We start from the raw sequence: 24,311 nt of genomic DNA on the forward strand, positions 1-24,311 counted from the left end.
ACTTCAGATTTAATGCAGAGGAAGCTGCAACAGTGAAATTATAATGATCTGTCCACGAAGGCTGCTCACCCACAGGGTAAGAAACAGCAATGGTCCTAAGCTAACATGAGAGATTTCAAGCTTTCACAATGATGATGGGAGTGATGCACTCAGTAAGAGCATGTTTCACCAAGGAAGATGGCCATGCATCTTCAAAGGCTGAGGGGAACAAGCATTCTCTAATTCCCATGGAGACCTAGAAGAGTTCCTCATTGTGGAGTCATGCAAGCCCATTTCTTAGCTGGATGGGTGAAGTGTTCCCTCAGTTCACATAGACCAGGCTTCCTCTTTAGAGGCATAAGCTGTAAAACAGGAGAGTCTGTTTTAAGAGGATCTGTTTGAAGTTTAATGTAACTGAAGTCCATGCACCTGAAGCCATTAATTGATATAAGTGGTATGTACTTGTGTATATGTACGTGTGTCTCTATGTTTCTGTATGTTTATGTATGTATTTATGCATACGTGTATGCAATTGAAAAAAATCATAAACTACTCATTTTCCACTGACAGCATAGTTTAAAGATGATAGAAACTGTGTGGGCATTAGTCAGTCGTTGGAAAAGATCTCTCTCTTTTTGGAAATCTGTGGCTGAGGTAGAGAATGATGAGCAATATAAGACACCAGTTAACCTTTATACCTAGCTCTGAATTCCAAAAGAGAAATAAAGGCTGCTCAACACATTCATCTTCCTGCCTCAATTACTTGAAGTGGATAATCAGCTTAACGCTATCAGGACGATGCTGAATATGTGTTGATTTTTCTTTGTTATTGATTGCTGTGCTTTGACACACTGTTCTCGTGATTATGCGCGCAGGCACCACCTGGCACCATTGTCTACCTTCACTATTCACACATCAGGTGATCATTTTTGCGGTTTTTTTCTTCATTGCATATAGTTGCCAATGGAAATGCCTAGAACTTAAGGCATGGTTTAGTGGCTTAAATAACAGTATATGTTTTAAAGTACTATTTGGTGAAAACTAAGCAGTTTTAGACAGAAATCTTCCCTGAAATCCAATGGCCGTTTTGTTTAGAGTACATTTTACTCAAGTTGCTCACAAATGCTGCTTTACATTTTAGGTAACTCTGAAGTTTCTTAATAGGTAAATATCCAAATGTAAGTAGTAGGTGAACAATGGCACACATTCTTTGCACTAATGTATTTATGTGAGCAAGCATATATGTTTTTACATTTATTGAATAGCAATTATAATGAAAACTATTATTGTCTGCTTCCACAAAGAAGCAAATGCTTACATAGGACACTTGTTTCAGCCTCCCCACCTGTTCACCTGGCACCATGGCCCACACATAATCGAGAGCAAAGCTTGTGCCCTCTACCTAGGACACCTGAGCCAGCACCCACATTGCTCCTGCAGAGAGCACTCTGCAGACCTGGTTGTTGTCTTTGTGAGCAGTGCCCAACAAAAACAAAATCTTCCAGAAAAAACTGTCTCAACCAATCCTCTACTCTCAAGATAGAATTGCAGGGGCACATGAGCCTTCTATATCTCCATGGCTCCCATTTTATAAAAGGATCAACTGCTTTGACTGCCCATAGTCTGTTGTCCTTGAGGAACTTCACAAGCTTTTTCTTGCCCCAACCCCATTGGGGTGCTTGAGGTTTAGTGTTTTTCTGACCATAAGCCAACAAGAGCCAAGCCCCTGAGTATCCTGGAAGCCTGACTTCAGTCTTCACTAAACACATGGGTCTAGTGTTGATTTGTGCCTCCTCACCTTCTATGCAGTGTGCTCAGGACTGAGCTTCTGAAGGCCACCGTGAGCATGAGATTTCCACGTCCCACCCAACATATCCTTGCTAACATGGGTCATATGAAGTCACAACTCTCACAGTCCTTTGTAACTTGCTGACTCTCCTAGGACGGGACCACTGTACTGTTCCAACTAAGTGCCAGACTCCACAATGCCTTCTGTGACAGGCCACTTGTTCAATAGGTTAATGACAGGTCTCTAACTTGCCCTGGAGCACTGGCCCTTCAGCTGACCGCAGATGCCCTTAATTGGGAATTGTCCTTTACAATTTCTCAATCAGAGACTACAGCGATTGCTTCTTCACAGAGAAACTAGAGCCTGCTCTCTCTGCAGATGTGGCTTTACTTCAGGATTGAAGGAATGTCCCATTTAAAAGCAGAATCTGCAGAGATGAGTTACAGCTCAGGAAATAACACTATGTCATCTAAGTTAACAGAAGCATACCCGTTGTTGATATATTTAATCTAAAATGAAGATAAAAAAGGAATCTCACTGGTTGGTGTATACAACCAGTGTTGTATAAAAAATTCTGAGTACAAAAAATTCTTACTATCGTGTGCTGGTCACCAATGTTAAGGGGGCAGATGACTGCTCTAAAGTTTGCCATACTAAGAAAGAAGCCAGTGTAAAAGAAAAAGTTTCACACTATACACCTCTTCCCCACAACACACACACACACACAGCACATGCATAACAATGTTTCAGTCCTCCTAAGAATCGGCCGGGACAATAAGATTTGGACTTTAAAACAAGCTAATACTATTGCTTCTTTGCTTTATGTTTAAGAGAGATACAACCAGTGAATTGACTCATTTTTATTTTCATATAAAACTGTTTTTCTGGCACCTAAGGCTTTTGTAGACATTTATCATTTTGCTTCTCTCAGATAACACAAAAATTGATTTTTTTAGTATTCAGACCTCTTATTTTCCCCTGCATCACTTGTCAGCTTCCAAACAATCTATAACTACAAGACAAGCAATGAAAAGGGTGCATGTTCACAGTAGGCCCCATCTTGAGCTACACAACTGTGAGACACACTGAACTGCTGGTGTCCATTTGGCACTCACAATGGACCAAGGACCGGAAATTTGGGCTGCAGCTGAATTGCAAGAAAAAACATAGAAAGTAGTAAAAAAGATGTTGCCATGGGGTTTCCCTCCTTTGTCTTTTCTCCGCAAAGCATATCATCCTTTCCTCTTTTACAGAAGTAAGTCTTTGGGTTTCCGGTAGCTCTGACTCAGATTCTGCTTGCCTCTTCTCCATGAGATTACCAAGGCATCAGGGCAGAGACTCCCTGAGGTGAGCATTGGGCTTTTGCCCATGGTGGGAAGTGACTTGATCACACCAGTGCAGTCAGCTGAGGAGCGGGTGCAAGGGAGGCCAGATCTTGATATTTCTTTCTGTTAGAACATGCTATCAAATACCAAGTCACTTATTACCTGGTTAATTTATAGTATTTAGACTGCTGCAAACAAAATCAACTTCAGGTTGTATCATTCATTGTCTTCTCTTCTATCATCCTTGCTTCTGCCTTTGAGTCAGTGTCAACCTACACAATTAAACCTGCTCAGTCCCAGCAAAAGTTTTCTTACACTCTGTCTTGTAAAACTGATTTGTTTTCCCTTTTTTCTCCCCACCTCCACATTTTCCCCGAACAGAATCAAGAGCGGGGTTCATTTCCTGGTTATGTATCTTATTGGACGTGTGAACTTGTGCAAATTACATAATGTCTTTGAGCCTCAGTTTTCATGTGAGAAAAATGAAGGAAATAATGCTTGCTTCACAGAGTTGTTATGACAATCAAATAAGAAATTTCTATGTGAAAGTACTTTAATGAATGGTATAGAAGGTGCATACACCTCCCACCAGTGGGACTACTTCCTCAAATGCGTAGGCATCCTCTTTCCTGACCTACATCAGAGTGCTCCTAATCAACCACATCTTTAGCAGAATCCATGGGACCTGCATTTACTCCCCCAATAAATGAGCTGCCTATTAGCATGGGCAATGGGGACCAAGTAGTTATTTTTCCTATGTTCAGATTTTTTTTAACTCTTCATGTATTTTTAGAGAGGAAATTTTTTCTCCCATAATCAAAAATAACATATTCAAAAGCAGTTATTATGCCTTACACTTTGATCCCGTGATAAATAGAGATCTTGATTCCTTCATAACTAGGATATAAGCCTGCACTCGGATTAGTAACAACGCAGTCAGAAGATGTAGAAAACTAGAGTCTGTATTATTAGAACCCAAAATATTGAAGGGGAATATTGTTATTGTGCTTTGCACACTGGAAGAATGCATTTTGGAGAGTAAAGAGTCAAGTCCCTCCCCTGCCTGAATTATCCTGCCAGCCCCTCGCTCCTTCTTGCTGCTATTAGCCTCTCATAATGTAAAACATTTCTTCATTTCCAGCAGATAATACTTTCAGTGAAAAGGTAATTTTTGAAGTCTATTACTCGCATTCTTAGTGAAGAGCACAATGTAGCATTTTGTTCTAATACACCATTGAAATTGTTTGAGTAGGTACACCATGGAATCAAATACAAAATGTCAAAATGGTTTCCATTAACTATGCACATTTGCACTGCTTCCGTTAATGGCCATGTTTTTGTTCTTTTCCTTCATCTTTGCATCTATAAGATGAAATGATTCAGTTGATGTAACTGAAAAGTACATTGAAAAGGTAGAGAGCAAATTACAAAAGCATCAAGCCACAATTCCACCCACAGACTTTATTTTATAATGAAGTTTAATAATGATAGAAACTGTCATTAGATTTAAACATCAGTCATTTCAGCAATTGTAGTTAATGTGAATATCTCATACCGAGTAATGTTTTATAAAAACATGGCAGAGATTGTGTATTATATTGAACTGAAATGTCATAATGAAATCTTAACTAGATGCTATTATTGCAATACATATTATGTTAAGAGAAATTTACTTCAACTTGAAAAGAGAAAATGAGTACTGTGTTTCCTTCAACATCATAAGTTCAGATAAAATCATTTTACTTGGAAGAAAGTTTTTTTTTTCTTTTCTAGACTTAACATGAACACATATATGTACCCATTACTTATGATAATAAGTGTTGTGCTCATGTATCTTAGTGGTAAATATACAACAAAAATATATTTATTTTTCTTTGACACAACATTATCTCTAGGAAAAAATTTGTGGTTCTTATACAGTACATGTTTTTGAGCCTAAACAGTATGTGAGTTTCTCCTTTAATCTATCTTGAAGAAGAAAGGGTATTCCCAATGGCAGAGCCCTAGATCTAAACCTCAATGAGCTCTGTTACTACTGGATGGAGCTCATAACAGCGTCGGGAAGCCAGGCCAGGTGGTCATGCTTGCTGAGTCATTTAGCTGCAACTGTCCTTGCCTTGTTTCCTGATAGTACAGTTTCCTGCTAATGACTATAAAAGAACAATGGCAATACCAAATGAAATCAACACCTGAAAACTCTCATTTTCCACCGCCTACCCACTTCCCACCCCACTCACAGCAGTCTCTGTCCACATCAAAAAGGTTAATCACGTCTCAGTGTGGTACTGAGGAACATCTCACAAAGTCATACTCATTTGCTGAAGAAAGAAGAAGGAAGAAAATTTTCACTTCTGAGTATCATGTCCTCTCTTAGTTGAAAGAAGGAGACAAGTAGAAAGGAGGAGAAGAAACACAACGGGCTTTCCCTAGCACAATATTTCTCTAGAGTCCACAATATGTTCCAGAGTGATTAGGAAGTAAGAGCAACTGACCACAGCAAAGAATGCTTGTGCCGTGCATATACTTGAGCAAATTTCATCATTTTCACCTCATGAAAGGTTACATGAAAGGTTTTTTCTTGTTAGTTTAGGTTCTCTGGAGTCTTTTGTGCTCATGTGTGCGTTTTTGTATTTTAACAATTTCACAAATGCTACTGGATAAATGCACCAGATTCCAGGAAACGTCCAGAACATTTAGTCTTTACCACCAGATGGCAGTGTAATACCACTCTTGTATAGAACAAACACAATAAAATGGGCGCAAGGGACCTTGGATAAGTACTACTCACTATGCTAGCCCCTGAAATCAGATATTATTTCCTTTTGATATTCAATACATCTTGTATCTAACATTTTTCTATTGAATACATTTGTAAAGGAATCCATAACTATGGCAAAAGAATCATTTCATTTACCAACTGCTGTGTAACAAACCACCCATCAAAACATACTAGTGTAAAATAATAATGTTTTATTATTTATCACAGTTCCATGAGTTCATTACACTCAGATGAGCCATTCTTCTGCATTTATCTTCTACTTCACAGGATGGAGATGGAGTCTCCCATGTATCTATGTTCAGCTGGGACTAGGGCTGGAATTTCCAGAATGGCCTCTCATGCTCTAGGGCCCTTCCTCCATGTGTCCTATCACTATTGAAATCTAGCACTAGCTTCCCTACATTCCATACAGGCAACTGACTTCTGAAAGATAGCCCTGTTGTTCAACTGTTAATAAGGCTGCTGCATCTGCTGCATGAATCACACTTGCTAGTAATCCATTGGCCAGAACAAGTCAAGTGACTCAGCCACAGCCATCTGATGTGGAAAAAAACTGCATGCAAGCCTAAATTCCAGGAGACAAGGCCAGCAATGGACAGGCCACCATAGGGTTCACAGCTCTGCAAGCACAAGGAATCAGAAAACTCCCTAGTTCAATTTACGTTAAAAATATTATAAATCTATACTTCTTTTATCAGTAAATCATAGGCAAGACAAATGGCACTGACACAACTTGTAAAATGTCATAAAAATGGACCATCTGGCTTCTACTGCCCACGGTATTTTACTCTGCATAGAAGGGCACAGTTCCAGGCTCTGGCCTCAGGATTGCAGGGCCCAAAACTCAAATTTTAAGGGCACCCAGTATTGGCAAGCTAAAAAGGAAAACTAAGGCTAAGTAAACTTACAAAAGATAACTTAACCAGATGTAAATTCAAGTGTGCAGAAAGACCTACCTGGTGCATGAATGGAGCCTATCGGCAAACTCAATCATGGTGCATAAATCCCCCAGGAAAACAAATTATAAAGCAGAGGTTGCTTTACGAACACAAATTTGGAGGAAGGGAAGCTGGATATTCTCAACGGATATTTCCACTGGAGCTAATGAATTGTCCTTCTCTGTTCTACAAACATCTGTATTTTAAGAACTGACTCAGTTTCATTCAATTACAGCAACATTGCCTCTTAATAAAATCAGAAAAACACTGATCTAACATTATTTTTGCTGAAAAGATTATGAACAGGATTAAGAACAAAAGTCAAAACTTGTTCTCAACATTTTGTGTTGCAAAAAGCCAGAAATTTTTCATCCAAGATAATATTTCTACTTATTATGCATGACCCAGAAAGCACTATCGACACATAATGTTGATTCAGTAATTAGTGCTCTTCCATTTTTAATCTGATAATCCCCATGGCTAACAGGTTGCTATACCCAAATGATGCTTCTGTACTTCAGTTAATGTCTGCTAATAATTGAACCCAAGAACAGTACCCATCAACAATTCCAAATTTATTTCCCAGCATCAAGATTAAAACTAGACAGCAAGGCCTTGCATCCTCTAAGGCAGTCTACACAATTCATTTACATATAAAATTCATACACTCTGCAAATGGAACTGATATATGCTGCATTATTCCTGAGCTTTCAGTGAGTTAGAAACAAAAAGGGGGAAGGGGCACCTAATAAAACTCTTCAGGAAGAGTGTATATTATTATTCATGCATTAATGTAGCAAATACACAGTTAGAAATTCAGTAAGTGAATTATATAAATAGAATTTTCTTATAAGAATCTTGTAACCCAAATTCTCAAAATTCAGCTTTCATAAAGATAATACAATTTTTTTTCTCAGATGATTTTTCTTCCTCCCATGGCAAAATATCCTTCACTGTATTACAGCCTGGGATTGTTTCATTAGATGAGGATGGAGAAATAGTTGGTCAATTGACCAAAACTGGGGGAGTTTTGTTTATCATATGGAGGAGAGTTTTGTTTTTTAAAATATTAGATATCTCAAGTGTCAATATCAAAATGCCAGTTCTTGAAACCATTGCTACACAAGGATCTCTCAAGAAATGTATTTATTGAATTGTAACATTCATTACATGAAGAGCCAGTAAGTGGCTCCACATTTAAGATCACGTGAACCATTTTAGGCATTCAATTTGTTTATTTACAACTCATAACAAAACATCTCACACTGGAAAGGTTTGCCATTACCTCATACTCAACATGTTGGGTTGGAATGATCAATAACGTTTACAGTTTACTCAGAAAAATGCTAGAGAGTTCTCAGAGCTAAATAAGAAGCCACAGAGTCAAGAGAAAATCAGGTAGAACTCCCCCAACTCCTTTCAAATAGAGAAAATCTTCTTTCATTTGTTCAAATAATAATTTATCCTTAAGATGTTGCCAATTTGGGGAAAAGGAGAGTAAATACTGAACTGGTGCTCATGGTAAGTGCTCAATAAACATTTGTGTTTTGCTTGTTGGAGGGGAGAAGAGGTTGTTGGAGGGGAGAGGAGATTGTTGGAGGGGAGGGGAGGTTGTTGGAGGGGAGGGGAGGTTGTTGGAGATGAAGGGAGGGGAGGGGAGGGGAAGGGAGGGGAGGGGAAGGGAGGGAAGGGAAGGGAAGGAGGGAGGGAAGGAGGAAGGAAGGAAGGAAGGAAGGAAGGAAGGAAGGAAGGAAGGAAGGAAGGAAGGAAGAAAGAAGGAAGGAAAGTGGGAGGGAAGGAGAGAGGGGAGGAAAGAAGAAAGGAAGGCCCAGTTTTCAAATAAGTTTGAGAATCCCACATAATATATTATTTCTTTGAGTGTAAAAACTGATATTAGTATATTGAAGGCTCTGATAAGTGGCACAAGTAAGAAAAATGTTTAACTTTTTTAACCTGCTATTCCATAAATGTATTTAAAGACTAACCCCCCTCTTTGTTTTTATATTTATCTTTATCAAAAATTATTAAAATCTTGTGGAATTTGTGTATTTTTAAAGTTTGGTAAATGCTACCTTAGTAGGCACTACAATGGACACAAATATTCAGTAGAGCAAAGAATTGCTGTTACGATATTACTCCTATTCACACACGTCTGGTAGATTCAGTCCAAAGTCATTCTATAATTCAATATACATTACTATTTACCACTGTCTTACTTCCCTTCTTATACTGGTAGCAGTGAAAGCCACTGGTTAAGTTCTGAAGTTTAAATCCTAGCTCTGCCACTTATTAGCAATGGGACCGTGGGCACATTCCTCTTTCTCTCTGTCTGTTTCCTCATTTGTAAAATAGATTACATTGAATTCAGTCCCCGAATGTAGGAAATGGGAAGATTTCCAAATCTATATTTTCTGGGAGTAGCACATAGGTAGATTTCTGAACTCTAACATGGATCTACTGAATCTAATGCTCTGGAAAAACCGTCTGCATCTTACTCTGCCCCAATGATTTTCATGAGGATAAAGTTAGAAGACATTGATCATGCAAATGAGGAGCACCACCACTGCTTCCAAGTGTTAGGAGGGGTAATGCACAAAATCAGAGCATACCTGGTTTTACCGTGCCCAAAAGGCAGAACCAGGACTGCGGCAGAAGTGAGAGGAGGCAAATTTTAGCTCGACATGAAGAAGGACTTTCCAACAAATATGGCCGTGCAAAGATTGTGCAGGCTTCTTTGACAATCAGATATCTGCCCTTGTGCTTGGGATCACTTATTTAACTGGAGCTTTTTCCAGGGTATTTGAAGGGGGATTCAAGCATCTCTGAGGGTTGTTAGAGTACCTGACTGCTACATTTCCCTTCCAACCCTAACGTGTTAGGATTTACCTCTCCTGACACCAAGCCTGTACTAAGTAAAATCCATGTCCAAATGTACTTGTTTCTTCCCCATTTTCACTCTTCATACATTTATTTGAGGAAGAGTATTTTTCAAAGATTTTGGTATTTGGTATTTTTTGGAAGACATTTTAAATACTGTCAGTGCACGACACTAGATCACATGCCTTAAAATGCTCTGAAAGCACAGGTACACATCTTGGTAAAACACAGGCGATGCTATCCCTGGGGACACAACCTACCAGGACATGATGGAAGAAAACTTAGGGATTTCCACTGGCATTCCAGATCCACCAACAACCATTCCTTAAGCAGCCAGACAGGCTCACAGCGCTCATATAATTAATCCTTGAATCCTAAAGGAGCCATTATGTTCCTTCCTACAGCTGCTGCTGGGAGTCACATAAAACATCTTCTAGCTTATGAGACCAGAACTTTAATCATATATAAGGACTGAAAACACAGCCTAAAAAGGCATAAATTCCAAATTGTTTCCATGCCACTGTAATATTGAAAAAGTGCCTACACACTTTTATAATATAGATTTGTGAAATGATGGAAATGCTGCTATCATTTATAGTTTCCTTTCAGAATGGGCACTTATTTATAAATGAATGGTTCTGTAATAACCCAATGGCACCTTCATAAATCTCTCCAATGTATGGCAGTCTGTAACACATCTGATGAGAAATGTGTTTACTTTCAGGATTAAAAATAGAAAAACACAATAGAACAAGTTCATTGGCAGGTTCAGGTGGCCACTTAGTTTATAATAGAATCAGGAAATGAAAGTGCCCTGTGGTGCAGTAAAAACTCCACTAGAACCCATTTTAGCTAAGATAAGCAAAGCATGTCAGTGAGTTTCCTCAGTTGTCAGCATTTTTAAAAATTAACTGTATACCTCCTTTCAATCAGCTAAATATTTATTCAAATCTTCAGCTTGTTATTTCTTCATTAGCAAGGTTTCCCCTGCTGCTCAGCAGAATATGTGAGGAACTTTGCAAATGTCAGAAGCACTCAAGTTGAATCAACCAGGGGAAGTGATAAAAAAGACTCATAATCAAGTGGAACTACAATAGGGCCACATTTCAAGCTGGGAAATAATAGATCAATACAGAAGGATCTTTCCCATGGAATAATGCTGCTATTTGTTCTTATTTTGTGACTTGTTTTTACTCATCAAATCACAAGTACAATGCATTTCTGTGTTAACCTTCAATTTGTAAATGATCATTTGTATTCTAATCCTCAGAACACTGCCACAGAGAAAAGAGAGTGCAATTTTGAAAGAAAAGCTGAGGCTTGTGAACAAAGGAGAGCAAAATAAAATAGCCAAAGTATTTTAGGGAACGAATTAGTGCTTTAGGAGCTCCTGGTTAGCATATGAAAATCTCATTCTAATAGATAAATCAAGCTTAATGATACAGAGTTTTAAAGATGGACAATTATAACAAAGGTCCTCATAGAAAAAAAAATCTAAAGCTGCAGTGTAATCTGGAGCTAGGCAAGTCTAACCTGTTCATTTGCTTCTTTTGGGAAAAAAAAAGTTTATGGTCTTGAAGTTGCAGATGTTTTACATTTAATTTTGTGCTTTGATAAGGATCTTAGTTTGGTCAGGATTTTGGTTTGTGAGTGCTATCCAGCCACTGGTGCTAGTACAAAACTTTATCACATTAACTTGCTTTATTTAATTCTGTGTTATTTTCAACATCATTATCCAATAATAAAATATGACTTCATCAATTTATCTTTCAAATCAAGTTGCTCACATCATTTCAGATATATATTACAATCCAATAGCTCCCAATTATTTTTAAAAACTTATTCATAAACATGGGATAAACCTATAAAGACTGCTGTTTCTTCATGAGATAATAATATGATATAAAAACAAAACTTCAAAATATGTTTCCAAAATCACAAAGAATAAAATATATCAATTTGTAGGTAAATGAGCTCCCCCAAATTTTATGATGATAGCACACATTTTTCTTGATTAAGAAAATTCTGTATATGTTTTCCTCTTTCCGAATATAAACAGGCTATGCTAGAAGGGTACCATTTGAAAAGGAAGTGTATGACCCACCGTGAAATGGAACTGGTAGCTGGTCACCCAGGTGCTCTTCCTTGTTAACTGATGAGAGCGATTATTATGTGAGAACTTTAACAACCTGCCAAAGGATCCCGGGGCAAGAATGAGAGCTGAACCATTGAAAAGCTGAGCATCGAAGTGCCTGGGAAGCCCAAAACTCAGCACATTCATGCTTTTGCTGGTTTTTGACCATTGAGAAGAAAAAAGAGTCAGCAACCAGGGAGCAGGTAAAGATGGTACCGTTTAATCCCCAGTTCCCCATTCAGTCCTGGTCCCTCCAGAAGCTACCCTGTCCCCAGGCCTCAGTGTGTTTGCCTTCCTCCTCTGGGAGGGGTTAGCACAATTCAAAAGGGCAAATTTTGTAGAAGAGTATGAAATGAGAGCAACTTTTTTTATTGCTGCCCCACACTGCCCTCTGAAGACCCTGTCCTCTGGTTTTGCACACACCAGACCAATGGTCCCAGGCTAAGGTGGCTGTTGATGAGGCTGTAATCTGGACTGAGGCTAAGGGAGAGGGGGTGGTGTGAGAAGGGGAAGAATGGCTCATAATGAAAAGAAGGGAGAAAGTAATTTAAGGAGCAGAGTGGTTACTCTTCAATAGTATAACGATGGATTTTTCCATATTAACCAAATGAAGTGCTAACACCACAATTAAGAGCAAAATCATTGCAAAGTCATCTTCTAGGGACAGGCTACCTCAAGGGCTGTAGGTAAAATTGGATAATGCTTATATTAACATTATCCTTTTCTTTGCATTCAAACTTTGTCCCAGGATATTCCATAGAAAAGATAAGTAGGTGTGCATTTTTTTCCCTAATATTTCCTAAGGAAAGCAAAGATGTTTTACTGAATTCCAGTGTCTGGGGAGATCTGCCTTCCCACGATGTCGTGAGTGGTTGTGTAGAAGAAGATGGTTTCTTTTACCAAAGAGTTCTCCTTCGACCTGGCTAGGAGTTTATTTTTTACTTTGTATGGAAATTCTACAGGGAGCCTAATAGCACAGAATGGAGCCCCAGTATCATTTGTAATATTCAACTGCAACATGGATTTTATTTTATGCCTCCTTCTAAATAAGTCTTTTCTAAATATATTTTTGAGGACTGACGGCACATAAAAGGGAGCTATTAAGGAGAACCATGGGGTGTCTGTGATGGGAAGGACTGATTATCCCTGACAGCCTCCAACTTTGAATTCCTGGAAAGGCAAACCACGAATATTTCAGTGAGCCAAGCATGCAGATACATTTAATGCCACATTGCCCTTCTACCCTTTTCCTCCTCTTTTCCTCTCCCTGGTTTCCCAGCCTCTTCTAAAATGGTGTGTTTATTATGAAGTGTTCTTGGAAGTTTTCTTATGTCATCTGAATCAATATAATATCAGACCTATCAAGATCTATTTTTAAAGGTAAGCTTGTTTGGTCCTCTAGCGGCCTCCTAATTAGAACGCACTATATTTATGTATATGCTTCTTTGCATTGCATTAACAGGATACTCTGGGAAAAGCTTCATGCTTTCAAAACACTGAATTTCAGGGAGGTCCTCGGCAAAATCATGAAACGAATTTGAATCTTACCCTTCGTTCAGGTTTCAGTCTGTGACCTTGGACCCAGATTCCATGAATAGAACATTGTCCTCGCAGGGCAGAGGCTCAATAACTGGACATTTTCTGGGTCCCTGAATTTGTACAATGAGATATCAACTCCAATCTGTGAGCACAATGCTCCAGTGACTGCCAGGAATGGCTGCAATATTGATGCCTTTCAATGTAGATCACATCATTCACCGAGCAGAGCTCAATAAAATGATACTGTAGTTAACAAGTTTTATAACACAAAGTTACTTTAAAACATGGAACTAATCAGAGAGAAGCCTGTTTATGCGTGTCAGAGCCACATTTAATTGTCAATAAATAAACAAAGATTTGCTTCACCTATTGTCATGTATATCAAGTAAGTCATTAATCTAAACTAATGAAGCTTAAGATATATGACAGACAGTTTTTATGGAGCGCCTTCTTAATGATATGTTTGCTTTTCATTTCAATGCCAAGAGAGCCCATTATCAAGAAAGCAGCACATTATGGTCCAAACACATTGAAATCTACAGCACTACTCTTTGTTCGGAGTTCACAATAAGCCGCACTTGCACTTACATATTCATGTACCCTCTGAGATGAAAAGCGTTAGTTAGAAATGAATACGGGTGGGGTGGGGGGAGCAGGGACAATGCATCCAAGGCTTCTGCTCTGTTAAGAGGTTTCCCCCCGCTTTGGATTTTTAAGCTCACCTGGAAAGAAAAAGGAGACTAAATCCAGCCCAATTCATGCCCACATCAATTTTGAAAAATGTGAGTGAATATGTATCATAAACACAGTGAGTCCTAATCATTAAAGAACATCCTGAATCTCTGAAGAACACAAACCCAGGATGCCAAGCTGCAAACAAATAACTACTAGATAATAGAAGCAAGTATTCTACAATTATTTTAATGGGCATGTTAGTTCTCAAGCTTCCATGGTTTTCAAAGAGAAAGTAATTATTTCTTACTCTGCTTCTATTTTGGAAGAGAATAATGTGGACAAGTTAACATCTATCAAACCATAATGATTCCCAACCTGGTGACATGAAAAACTCAGATTAGCTGACCCTTTGGGCTAATGCCACCAAGAGATTCTGCTGCAGGCGCCAAAGACCAAATGAAAGATTCAGTCATGTTGCAGTTTTATTTACTTAAATCTGGAGAAATATGCCTAGCGTCGAACCAGATTACAAGAGGATACAATACATCTATGTGTAGAGCAGGGCAAAAGACTGATTGAATATGGTCAGGGATCTTGGCTATCTTGTTCATCAATGCATTTCCAGAACCTTCCACAGTCCCTGGCTCGTTGTGGGCACATGGTGAATATTTGCTAAGTCTGTGGGAAAAAATCTATGATATAAGGAACAGAAGGATTTTAAAAAGCTTTCCTAGAAATATCCTGCTCTTTTTTCTCTTCCCATTCTGCTACTTACTTCAGTATAAACCGGAAGTAAGCTCTCCACTGTCAAATGTTTTCTCAGTCTGGGCCCTTCTGAAGTTTTAAGTCCATTCCTTCTTGACTTCCCTACTTGCTCAAACCAAAGCAAAATCCAATTCATTCCTTCAAGAGAAAGTCACGGAGCATACAACAAATCACATGGAGATGTGGGCTCTTATAGAGCTCAGGGTCCATATCTGGTTAATTGCAAAACCTTGTAACCAGCACTTTAGTGAGCAAAGTCCAAAATGCCACAGGAGCACAGATTGGAAGGTTCCAGGGCACATGTCATATGAACTCAGCCCAGAAGGGTGACCCAGCTTCTGACAGGCACATGAGTGGGTGTTCCCAGAAGAGTAGAAAGAGCAAATTAATAGAGCACCAACCGTTACAGCACCAGCCATCTGTTCCAGTGAGTCCAAGCACTGGGTATCATGAAATGAGACAAATAAAGGTTATCAAGACAGGTTGTAATTAATTATATCATAACTATTATTAACACTTATTGAGCACCTACTATATGCTTGGCACAGGCACTGACCTCTACCCATAAACCTTATTTTCTGAGTAACTGACTTCTCCCAAGTAACAAGACTGTACCTACCCACCTGGACTCAAAGCCATTCTTCTGGGAGTTCAGAGCTCAGGCAATTAATCAAAATTATTTTTATAAATGTATGCCCTGGACACTTTTAGTAAAACTTCCCCAGACTGCCACAAACCTTCTCTTAGGCCTGTGTGCAGGAAAAGAAGAGAATGTTGAGAAGGGAGATAAAAATTAAGGCAGAGCTCATTTTTACACTCACTAGGGTTTTTATGAAGAAAGTTAAAGTAAGAGGTGACCAAGTTGGCTGTATCAGGACAAGGTTGGCTTCAGGGAAGTGGTATTTTTGTGTTGTTTCCAGAGGAACCATGTATGTCCCAGGGTGCTCAGTGCCATTTCAGGTGTTCATGTGAAAGTAGGATCCTAAGACTGGAAGTAATAACAAAAAGTAAACATCAAAAACATTTAACATCCCCTGTTCCCTCTAGCTCAGACTATGCCATGGGCCTCCTGGACAGAGAGAGACATCCCCTTTCTTAGCACTCTAGAAAAGTGTCCTATATCCTTTTTCAATCATTTATTTATTCCAGGTCATCTCAAACTTTGTAATCAATAAGATATTCCTAAGGTGTAAACCTCAATAACAGGTATTAAACTTATTCTCCAGTAAGGTTGCAGAAAAGGATTTCTGGTTAATAAAGTATTGCGTGTGGTAGACAGTTTCTGGGTATATACAAAACCATTCATAATTCAAAAAATTATAATATATTCAAATATTCTAGACCAGGCTTTCTCAGCTTTAAAACTACTGACATTTAGGCTGTCCTATGCACTGTAGGGTGGTTAGCAACATCCCCAGCTTCTACCACTAGATGCCAGTTGTAACCCTCAGTTTTGGGAACACCAGAAATGTCTCTTGACATCGCCCAACATCCCCTAGGGGGTAGAATCACTCCCAGTTGAGAATCCTTAATTCATATTTAATGAACATCATTTAATCTTGTTTTGGTGATTCAAAAAGCACATCGGAATCCACTTGTGACTTAGGGTGGACACTCATAACAAGGAAAAGAAGCAGTTCAATGCTCTAATTAATGGAACATCAGATAACAGATAACAAGTAGTAGATATTAAGTTTATGCAGGTTGCAATAACCACCTCTGAGGGAAACATTCATTGTTTACACCATCTTGCAAGTGAAAAACTCAGAGCTCAGTGACTCCTCCAGTGACATATCAGGAAGTATTCAATGGGCTTGGGCAAATGTTCTAGGCTCCCCACTGGAATCCTGGGGAAGCACAGAACCTACTTCTCTGTTTAAACAACATTAGGGCTTCTTAACCTGTGATTCCCTGGCAATTACATGAACCACCTGATGAAAACACCCACTCATGTTGTCTTAAATTATTTTTCAACTTTTTCTTTGTTATATAACATATTTATAATATCAGAATTTCATCAAACATGAAAGAGCATTGCAAACTCCAAAATGTGTTGATTTTTTGATACTTTGAGGAAAATAGAGAAAATCAGGATGTCAAGAGCCCATAAAAATAAGAAAATCTTGGACCTCCTTGGGCAATGGGTAAGTGTGTCAGGAGCCAAATGCAAAGTAAAATGAAAAATATATTAGACTAAGACAGTAAACCTATCACAGCATTGCATTTGGCTTGAGTACTGAGAGAGAATATTATCTTCTTTTATCTCACCACTACATGCTGTAGCCCAAATGAATCCCCTCGTCTTAACTAGATGTCTTAAAAATAGCTACCTCCAAATCTCTGCACTATGCATTATCATTGAAATGATTGAAGACTTGAGTCTGTAATACAGCTCAAATATTAGCCATGGTCCAAGAAAGTGTGTGCTAAGGAGTGAATTATGTCTCCCTCCAAATTTCTATGTTGGTGTAGTCACCCCTGTTGTGATGGTATCTGGATATGATGCCTTTGGGAGATAATCTGGTTTAGATGATGTCAGGAGGGTGTGGCCCTCATGATGGGATTAGGTTCTTAGAAGCTCACTCACTCTCTCATTCTCTCTGCTATGTGAGGATAAAGTGAAAAGACAGCTATTTCATGCCGGGAAGAGGCATGAACTCAACCATGCTGGCACCCTGATTTTGGACTTCCAGCCTCTAGAATTGTGAGAAAATATGTTTCTGTTGTTTGAAGCATCCAGTATATGGTATTTTGTTGTAGCAGCCAGAGAAGACTAAGACCATGTGTCAACTTCCATGACCATGAGTCAAGGTGATATCAGGAGTACTTCCATGTGGACAGGGGGTGGGTTGCCTAGAAACCCTCCTTGATGGCTCCTCTCACAAACAGAAGCCACTCAACCACTTAGCTCCTCTAAACACCCTGGTGCTTTCACACCTCAAAACCTACTTTGGAGTGAGTAACCTCCTAGATGAGTTTCTCCCAAGAGATACTGACTGATAATGAGTCACACTGCTTCTAGGAGAATTATGCCTCAAAGAGAATGTACCACCACCTGTAGAACTTCTCAAAACAGGGATGCACCAGATGCCTTCATTTGCAAGGAGGACTCATGACATCCAGGCTCACAGGGTTCCTCTTGGCTGTGAAAGTTGAACTGCCTTTCACATTCATCTAAACACTCCTCCCCAGAGATCTCCACCACCATTCACTCACACAGGGCACCCTTTACTGAGATCTCCCAAATTACAGCCAGTGGGATGTAAAAAAAAAAAAAAAAGAAAAATCCCAGCCACCAGGTCCTCTCTGCACCTAGACTTTCAGGAACTCCCTCATCACAGCTACACTCCAGGGGTTAATCTTACAAGGACCTTAGAGTTCTTTATCCTTCCCATCAACAGAAAAGCTAAACCCTTAGCTGCTAGCTTTTATTGTTTTATACTAGCACTTTTATATTATTTACTCTATACAAACACACCAACTACTTTATATATACTAACTGATTAAGTACAACAGTATTATCATGTGAGTTTTAGTATTATCTTTACCTTACACAGGAAGATGTTAGGCCCATGAGTTTTCACTTCTTCATTGCACAGCTAGTAAGTGTCCAAGCTGGGATTCAAATCCAAGCCATCTGGGCTCAAAGTCCACCATCATGTATGAGTTTCTCTTTTTTCTTTTCTGGATTTCTGAGAAAGAATCTCAATGCTATAGGCTTTTCATTTCCCTCAGCAGGAAATTCTCTACAATCTCTTCCCACAAGACTGGAGGAAACCAGGATGTCATTACCGTAGGCACATGGCTGAGATTCCCAAGAAGGTGAGGAGGGGAACACCTCAAAGGCAGCATGCTTCCAACCCTCCTTCCCTTTAATAGTGGATCAGATCTGGGATCCTGAAATGTTCTCAGGTTATTTCTCTGTATTCAACCAGCATTCACTAACCCTAAGGCACAGAATCACATCATTTTCCCCTGAAAAAGCAGTACAGTCACACTTTTTAGGTCTACATTATTAAGCACATCTTTGTCTCTCTGTTTTTTAAGGTAAAAAAATCCTAGACTCTGTAGAGCCTATGCTCGCTTCAGGTTCTGAAAGGATTAGTAGAGGCACCTGGTGAGCTCCATCTCTTGAGATAGTTGATCTTACTTGATTCTCATCATAAAACTGAATTTAGTTGGATTGTTATCCCGTTTTTCAGTGGGTAACTGGAGTTTAGAATGGCTGAGAAGTTGACCCAAGTTCTCCCTGCTGGTGACAGCAGGTTTTGGACACTGAGCTCACCCTACCTGCCACATAATCCCACCTCACTGTGGGGCCTGCTGGGTGGAGACAGGACTGTCTTCCTTGTAGTGTTCAAGTTCCTCAAAGGCATAAAATGCCTGATGTTGATTCTGTCTGACAGCAAAGTGACTAAAGCTTAGAGGTATTTGTGGAATGAAATGGATGAATGAATATTAAGAGAATAAATTTTGCCTTTTCTCAGGCATCCTGGGCTCTAAAGTTGACACTTAAATTTCAATCTGTCTCTACTCACCTCTTACTAGGTAACTCCAGGTGGCTCACTGAATTTCTCTATGCCTCCGGGGTCTTTGTATCTGTAAAATTCATGTTGTATAATGGCATCTATCTAATAGAGTTAGTGTGAGGATTAAATGTTAGTCCATACAATGCTTAGAACACAAACTAATATGTTATAATACAAACAAAATTGTTGCTTTTTAACTCTTACTCAATTTCCCGATTGTTACTCAAATTACCTAAATTTTCATGCATCATATATGTGTGTCTGTGTGTGTATGAAATTAGATTACAGTATCTTTTGATGGCAACAAAGAGCATACAAGCATCCACAAACAAAATTCAGTGAGAATTAATACATAAGGCTTTTATAGTTAATTTTACAGTTTCTATAGTTAAATTCAAGTTAAGTCCTCAAGTAAGAGCAAGTTCTCAGATGGAAATGGATCAGTTTAAGGCAAAATGGCCACATTCTTTGCTAGTTTCTTTCTTTGATTTCCTCCTTTCTTTACTACTTTCTTCATTGGTCTCCCCTCCCCTCAACAATCAAATTTCACTCTCCAGTGTTCATTCTCTTATTCACTGTCTAACATCCTTACTCAAGAATGCTTCTCTCAATCAGATTAGAAAGCTTGGACAGCAGTCAATTATAATTCATCACTTAAGAATTATTTTCCAGCATAAATAATTTTCAACATATAAGCTTATCCAAACCATCCATTTCAACTAGTAGAATAAAGATTCTTTTTTCTGTTACAAAAAAAAATTCAAAGAATGACACCAGTAAAGGAAAAGCATAGTGAGAAATCTTTCCCCAGAGAAAATAAAGTCATCAAAGAAACTTTGTCCTCCCCCCATAAACAATGCCAGACCAAGACAGTTGAATGACAAATTTTACCATTCTTCATGATTCAGACGACACCAATGCTTCTTAAAATGTCCAAGGCATAGAAAAAGAAGGATGTTTTCTAAACCTTATCTGTGAAATAAGAATAACATACAGTATACAGCTAAACCTACCAAAGACAGTACACCTACACAAACCTACAGAACAACTTCACTTATAAATATCTGTGAAAAATTCCTAAATAAAATACTGGCAAATAAAATTCAAAAGTACATGTAAAAATAATAATACATTATGACCAAGTAAAATTTATTTCAGGAATATAAGAAATCATGTTAATGTAATTCACAACATTAATAAATCCAATTTAAAAGTATATAATTAATTCTATAAGGGCTAATAGGTCTTCAACAAAATTCAATACCCATTTTAAATATATATTATATACGCCTTTCATAATAAATCACTGGATGCCTTTACACTAAGTCAGGAATAATGCCCTCTACCACCACTACTATTTACAGCTTCACTGGAGACATGAGCCATGGCCATCTGATAAAGGAAAACACTTAAAAGCATAAAAATTGTGTCAGGAATGAAGTAAAATTATCTCTCTTTTGCAGATTATATTATAGTGGACCTTCAAAACCTAAAAAAAACATGATAAAGCTGACACAAACAGTAAAGGAATTCAATAACGTATCTGAATATAAAATCAGCTTACAAAAGTAAATAGCCTTCATAAGCACAGCTGATAACCAGTTAGAATATATATTGAAAGAGAAAAACCCACTTATAATAGCAACAGTAAAAGATACTTAAACTTTAAAAAGAAAACTTTAAAACTCTCCTGAAAGACACCAAAATAGAGAAGACTAGAAAAATACAATTATCTTCCTTCTCCTTGGACAGGGCAACTTATTATCATAACTGTGCCAATTTTATCCAAGTTAGCATATCAATTTAATGCAATTTTAAGAAAAATCCCAACAACTTAGTTTTTTCTGTAGCTATATGAGTTAATTCTGAAGTGCATATGCAAAAGAAACCCCCACTTTTTAATGACTAGGAAAATCTACCTAAATAAGAGTAATGATAGGGGACAACCACTACTAGATAAAACTATAAAGATCAATAATTAAAACAGTATGGTACAGTCATATCAATAGACAAACCATTAGGAAATGGAAGTTACAAGTGAAAACTGGAACATCCTGGTAACATAAAACAAGCAAATACTTAAATACAAATGAGACAGATGAAAACAGCAAGGAAATCAGCTTACAAAGGTTACTCCTGGCTGCCTTTTCTAATGATTTGAACATAAAAAAGAATAATGACCCTAATGGATGAGTCCATAAATGTATTAAAAGGATAACGAGGAGGTTGAGGAAAGATCTTCTTTACAGAAGAATGCAAACTAATACACTCAGAAAAAAATGGTAGAATAAAGCTGCCATTTTCAAAAAAAAAGTAATCATTTATTTAGGCAAGGCTCATTAATGGGTGCTAAAATCATTATGTAAAATATGATATTCACATGTTCTCAATATGTTTACTCACATTGAACTTAATCATTACAAAGGAAAAAAGTACTTTTACACTGAAGAGCTCTGATAGATTTCATCTTAACCAAGTTATAAAACTTAGTATCATCCATAATTAAGTGGCCATGTCCCAGTTTACCTGGGTCATACCCTGGTTTCATCTGTTGTCTTAGAGTACTTACTTATTAACAGTACACCCTTTCACCCGCAAAAGTATACCATTTTGAGTGATAAATGATAGGGTCATTATCCTAATAATATACCTTCTAATAGAATACAATAAGAATTATACAAGATCATTTATATATTATTCTTGTCAAAATTTTAATTTTATCAGGAGGAAACACAATCAGAGAAATCTAAACCATGGGACATTTTATAAGACAATTACTTTGAGCTTTAAAAAAATGTCATTGTTACCAAATAAAAAAATCTTTGAGTGTGCTAATCATATTACGGGTAGGTAGGATAAAATCCTCATTTCTTAAGAGAGAAATGCTGGTGTCTTTAGATAACAAATAGCTGAGTCTTGCTTTTTTACCCAGTCTGATATGTTCTATTTTTAAATTGGAGTGTTTGGACCATTTATATTTAACATAATTATCAATGTATTTGGGTTTAAAGTTATTATTTTGCTGTGAGTTTTCTATTTGCCCCCTCTCTTCTTTGTTCTCTTATTCCTGTTTTCCTCCTGGTTTTAGATTGACTGAGTATTTTTTCATGTTTCATTGAACTCTCTAACTTGAATTAATAATATGTCTTTGTTTACTTATTTTACTTGTCACTCTATGGCTTTCAATATGCACAGTTAACTTATCCCAGGATACCACTTCATGTCTAATACATACACCCACCTGTCCCTCCCTTCCTTTGTCCTATTCTTATTAATATCACAATACACTATTATTTTGCTTCAAAAAGTCAAGAACAATTTTTAAAAATGAAAATAGTGAGTGCAAAAAGTATTTTCTATTTACTTACATGTTGACCATTTCTGGTGTTTTTTACTTCTTTATAAAAGTATGTTTCCATTTGGTATCCTTTTCCTTTAGCCAGAAGAATTCTTTTAACACTTCTTGTAGTGCAAGATTTTTGGTAACAAATTCTCTCAGCTTTGGTTTTATTGAAATAAAAACAGTTTTTTAACGGATTTTTTTTAAGAATACAAAATTCTAGCTTGACAGGTTTTCTCTTTTTTTTTTTTTTTCTTTCAGTGCCATTGTCTTTTGGCTTGCAAATTTCTGGTAAGAAGTCTGCAATCATTTTCACCTTTGTTCCTATACACAGTGATTCTCAGTGTGAGACAACTGTCCCCCCAAGGGACATTTGACAGTGTCCATAGACACTTTTTATTGTCACTTGATGGGGTGTGGTCACAGCCATTTAGTGGGTAGAGAATAAGGATGCTGCTGAACATCCTACAATGAACAGGACAGATTCTACAAACAAAGAATTACCCAGCCCAAATTCTCAATCTGCTGAGATCGAGAAACCCTGCTCTGTACAAAGTGTGTATATTTTAATTAGGCCAATTTTGGTATTTTTCTCTTTATCCCTAATTGTCAGCTATTTGATTAGGATTGGCCTTGATGTGTTTTCTGTCAGCATGCATGTGGGCCCTGCTTGGGATTTGTTGAGCTTCTTAGATACTCCCCAAGTATCTAAGAAGCTCCCCAAGTATATGTCTAAGAATATTCCCCAAGTATTTCCTCTGCCCACCTCTTTTTTCTATTTTTTTGCAACTCCAATTGTACATATGTTAGACCACGTAATATTATCCTACAGGTACCTGAGAATCCATTTTTTTCCGTCTTTTTTTCTCTGTGTGCTTCCTTTTAGATTCTGCTTCTGTGGATTAGGTTCACTAATCTGTTCTTTAGCAAAACAGGACCTGTTTGCTTTTCATACTATCCAATTTACTATACTTACTTTGTGCTGTACTCACTACAAGTCTATACACTGTTCCATGGTATAAGTAAACCACAGTCTCCTATATAATGCCCTGTGGGCAAAATAGCTAGCTATGCATTATAAACAATGCATCAATGTACACTTCTCCTTTCACTACATATAGGAAAGACTTTCTCTCAAGTATATAACCCAAATTACACTGCAAGTTTATAGAACATACAGAGCTTCAACTCTATTAGATGTTGCCACATTGCTACCAAAATATAAACTGGAGCATCATTTTATACAGCAAGTAACTGTAAACTACATGTTTCCCAAAACAACAAAATTAAATGAACTTTTGTACATTGATAGGATAAAATACCATGTAGCCATTGTAGGTCTTGTTGAGCAATATTTATCATATAATTTTATATTTAAAAAGCAGAAAAGGAAATAACACCATAAGATATATAATTAAGAGACTGATATTTTTAGTGTGCTTTGCATAGAAAAATGACTGAAAGTAAATATCACCAATCTTTTAACAGTCATTATTTCTGGATGATGAGATAATGAGTAGCAATTTTTTTTCTATTTTTATTTTTCTAGGTACCCTACATTTTTACACAAACATGTGTCCTTAAATAAAGCTAAAGTATTGATATCGATATTAAAAGAACTTTACAATAAATATTAAAACCT

The 24,311-nt window shown here is 37.6% G+C and overlaps 1 long non-coding RNA gene across 5 annotated transcripts in view; it reads left to right on the plus strand.

The window, feature by feature from the left end:
* Positions 1-303: 303 nt before the first annotated feature.
* LOC105375861 (uncharacterized) overlaps positions 304-24,311 on the plus strand; it is a 69,653-nt gene continuing 45,645 nt past the window's right edge. For 2 of the 5 annotated variants that reach the window (XR_001745714.3, XR_002956710.2), the window contains exons 1-3: positions 304-433; positions 3,022-3,115; positions 11,747-12,024. This is a non-coding gene — a long non-coding RNA (uncharacterized LOC105375861). Of the gene's footprint in view, positions 434-3,021; positions 3,116-11,746; positions 12,025-13,100; positions 13,202-13,283; positions 13,729-24,311 lie in introns of those variants that run through there. The other 3 variants (XR_001745716.3, XR_001745717.3, XR_007060918.1) reach the window with 3 other exon arrangements.

This window comes from Homo sapiens, chromosome 8, assembly GCF_000001405.40.
Source record: "Homo sapiens chromosome 8, GRCh38.p14 Primary Assembly".
NCBI lineage: Eukaryota > Metazoa > Chordata > Mammalia > Primates > Hominidae > Homo > Homo sapiens.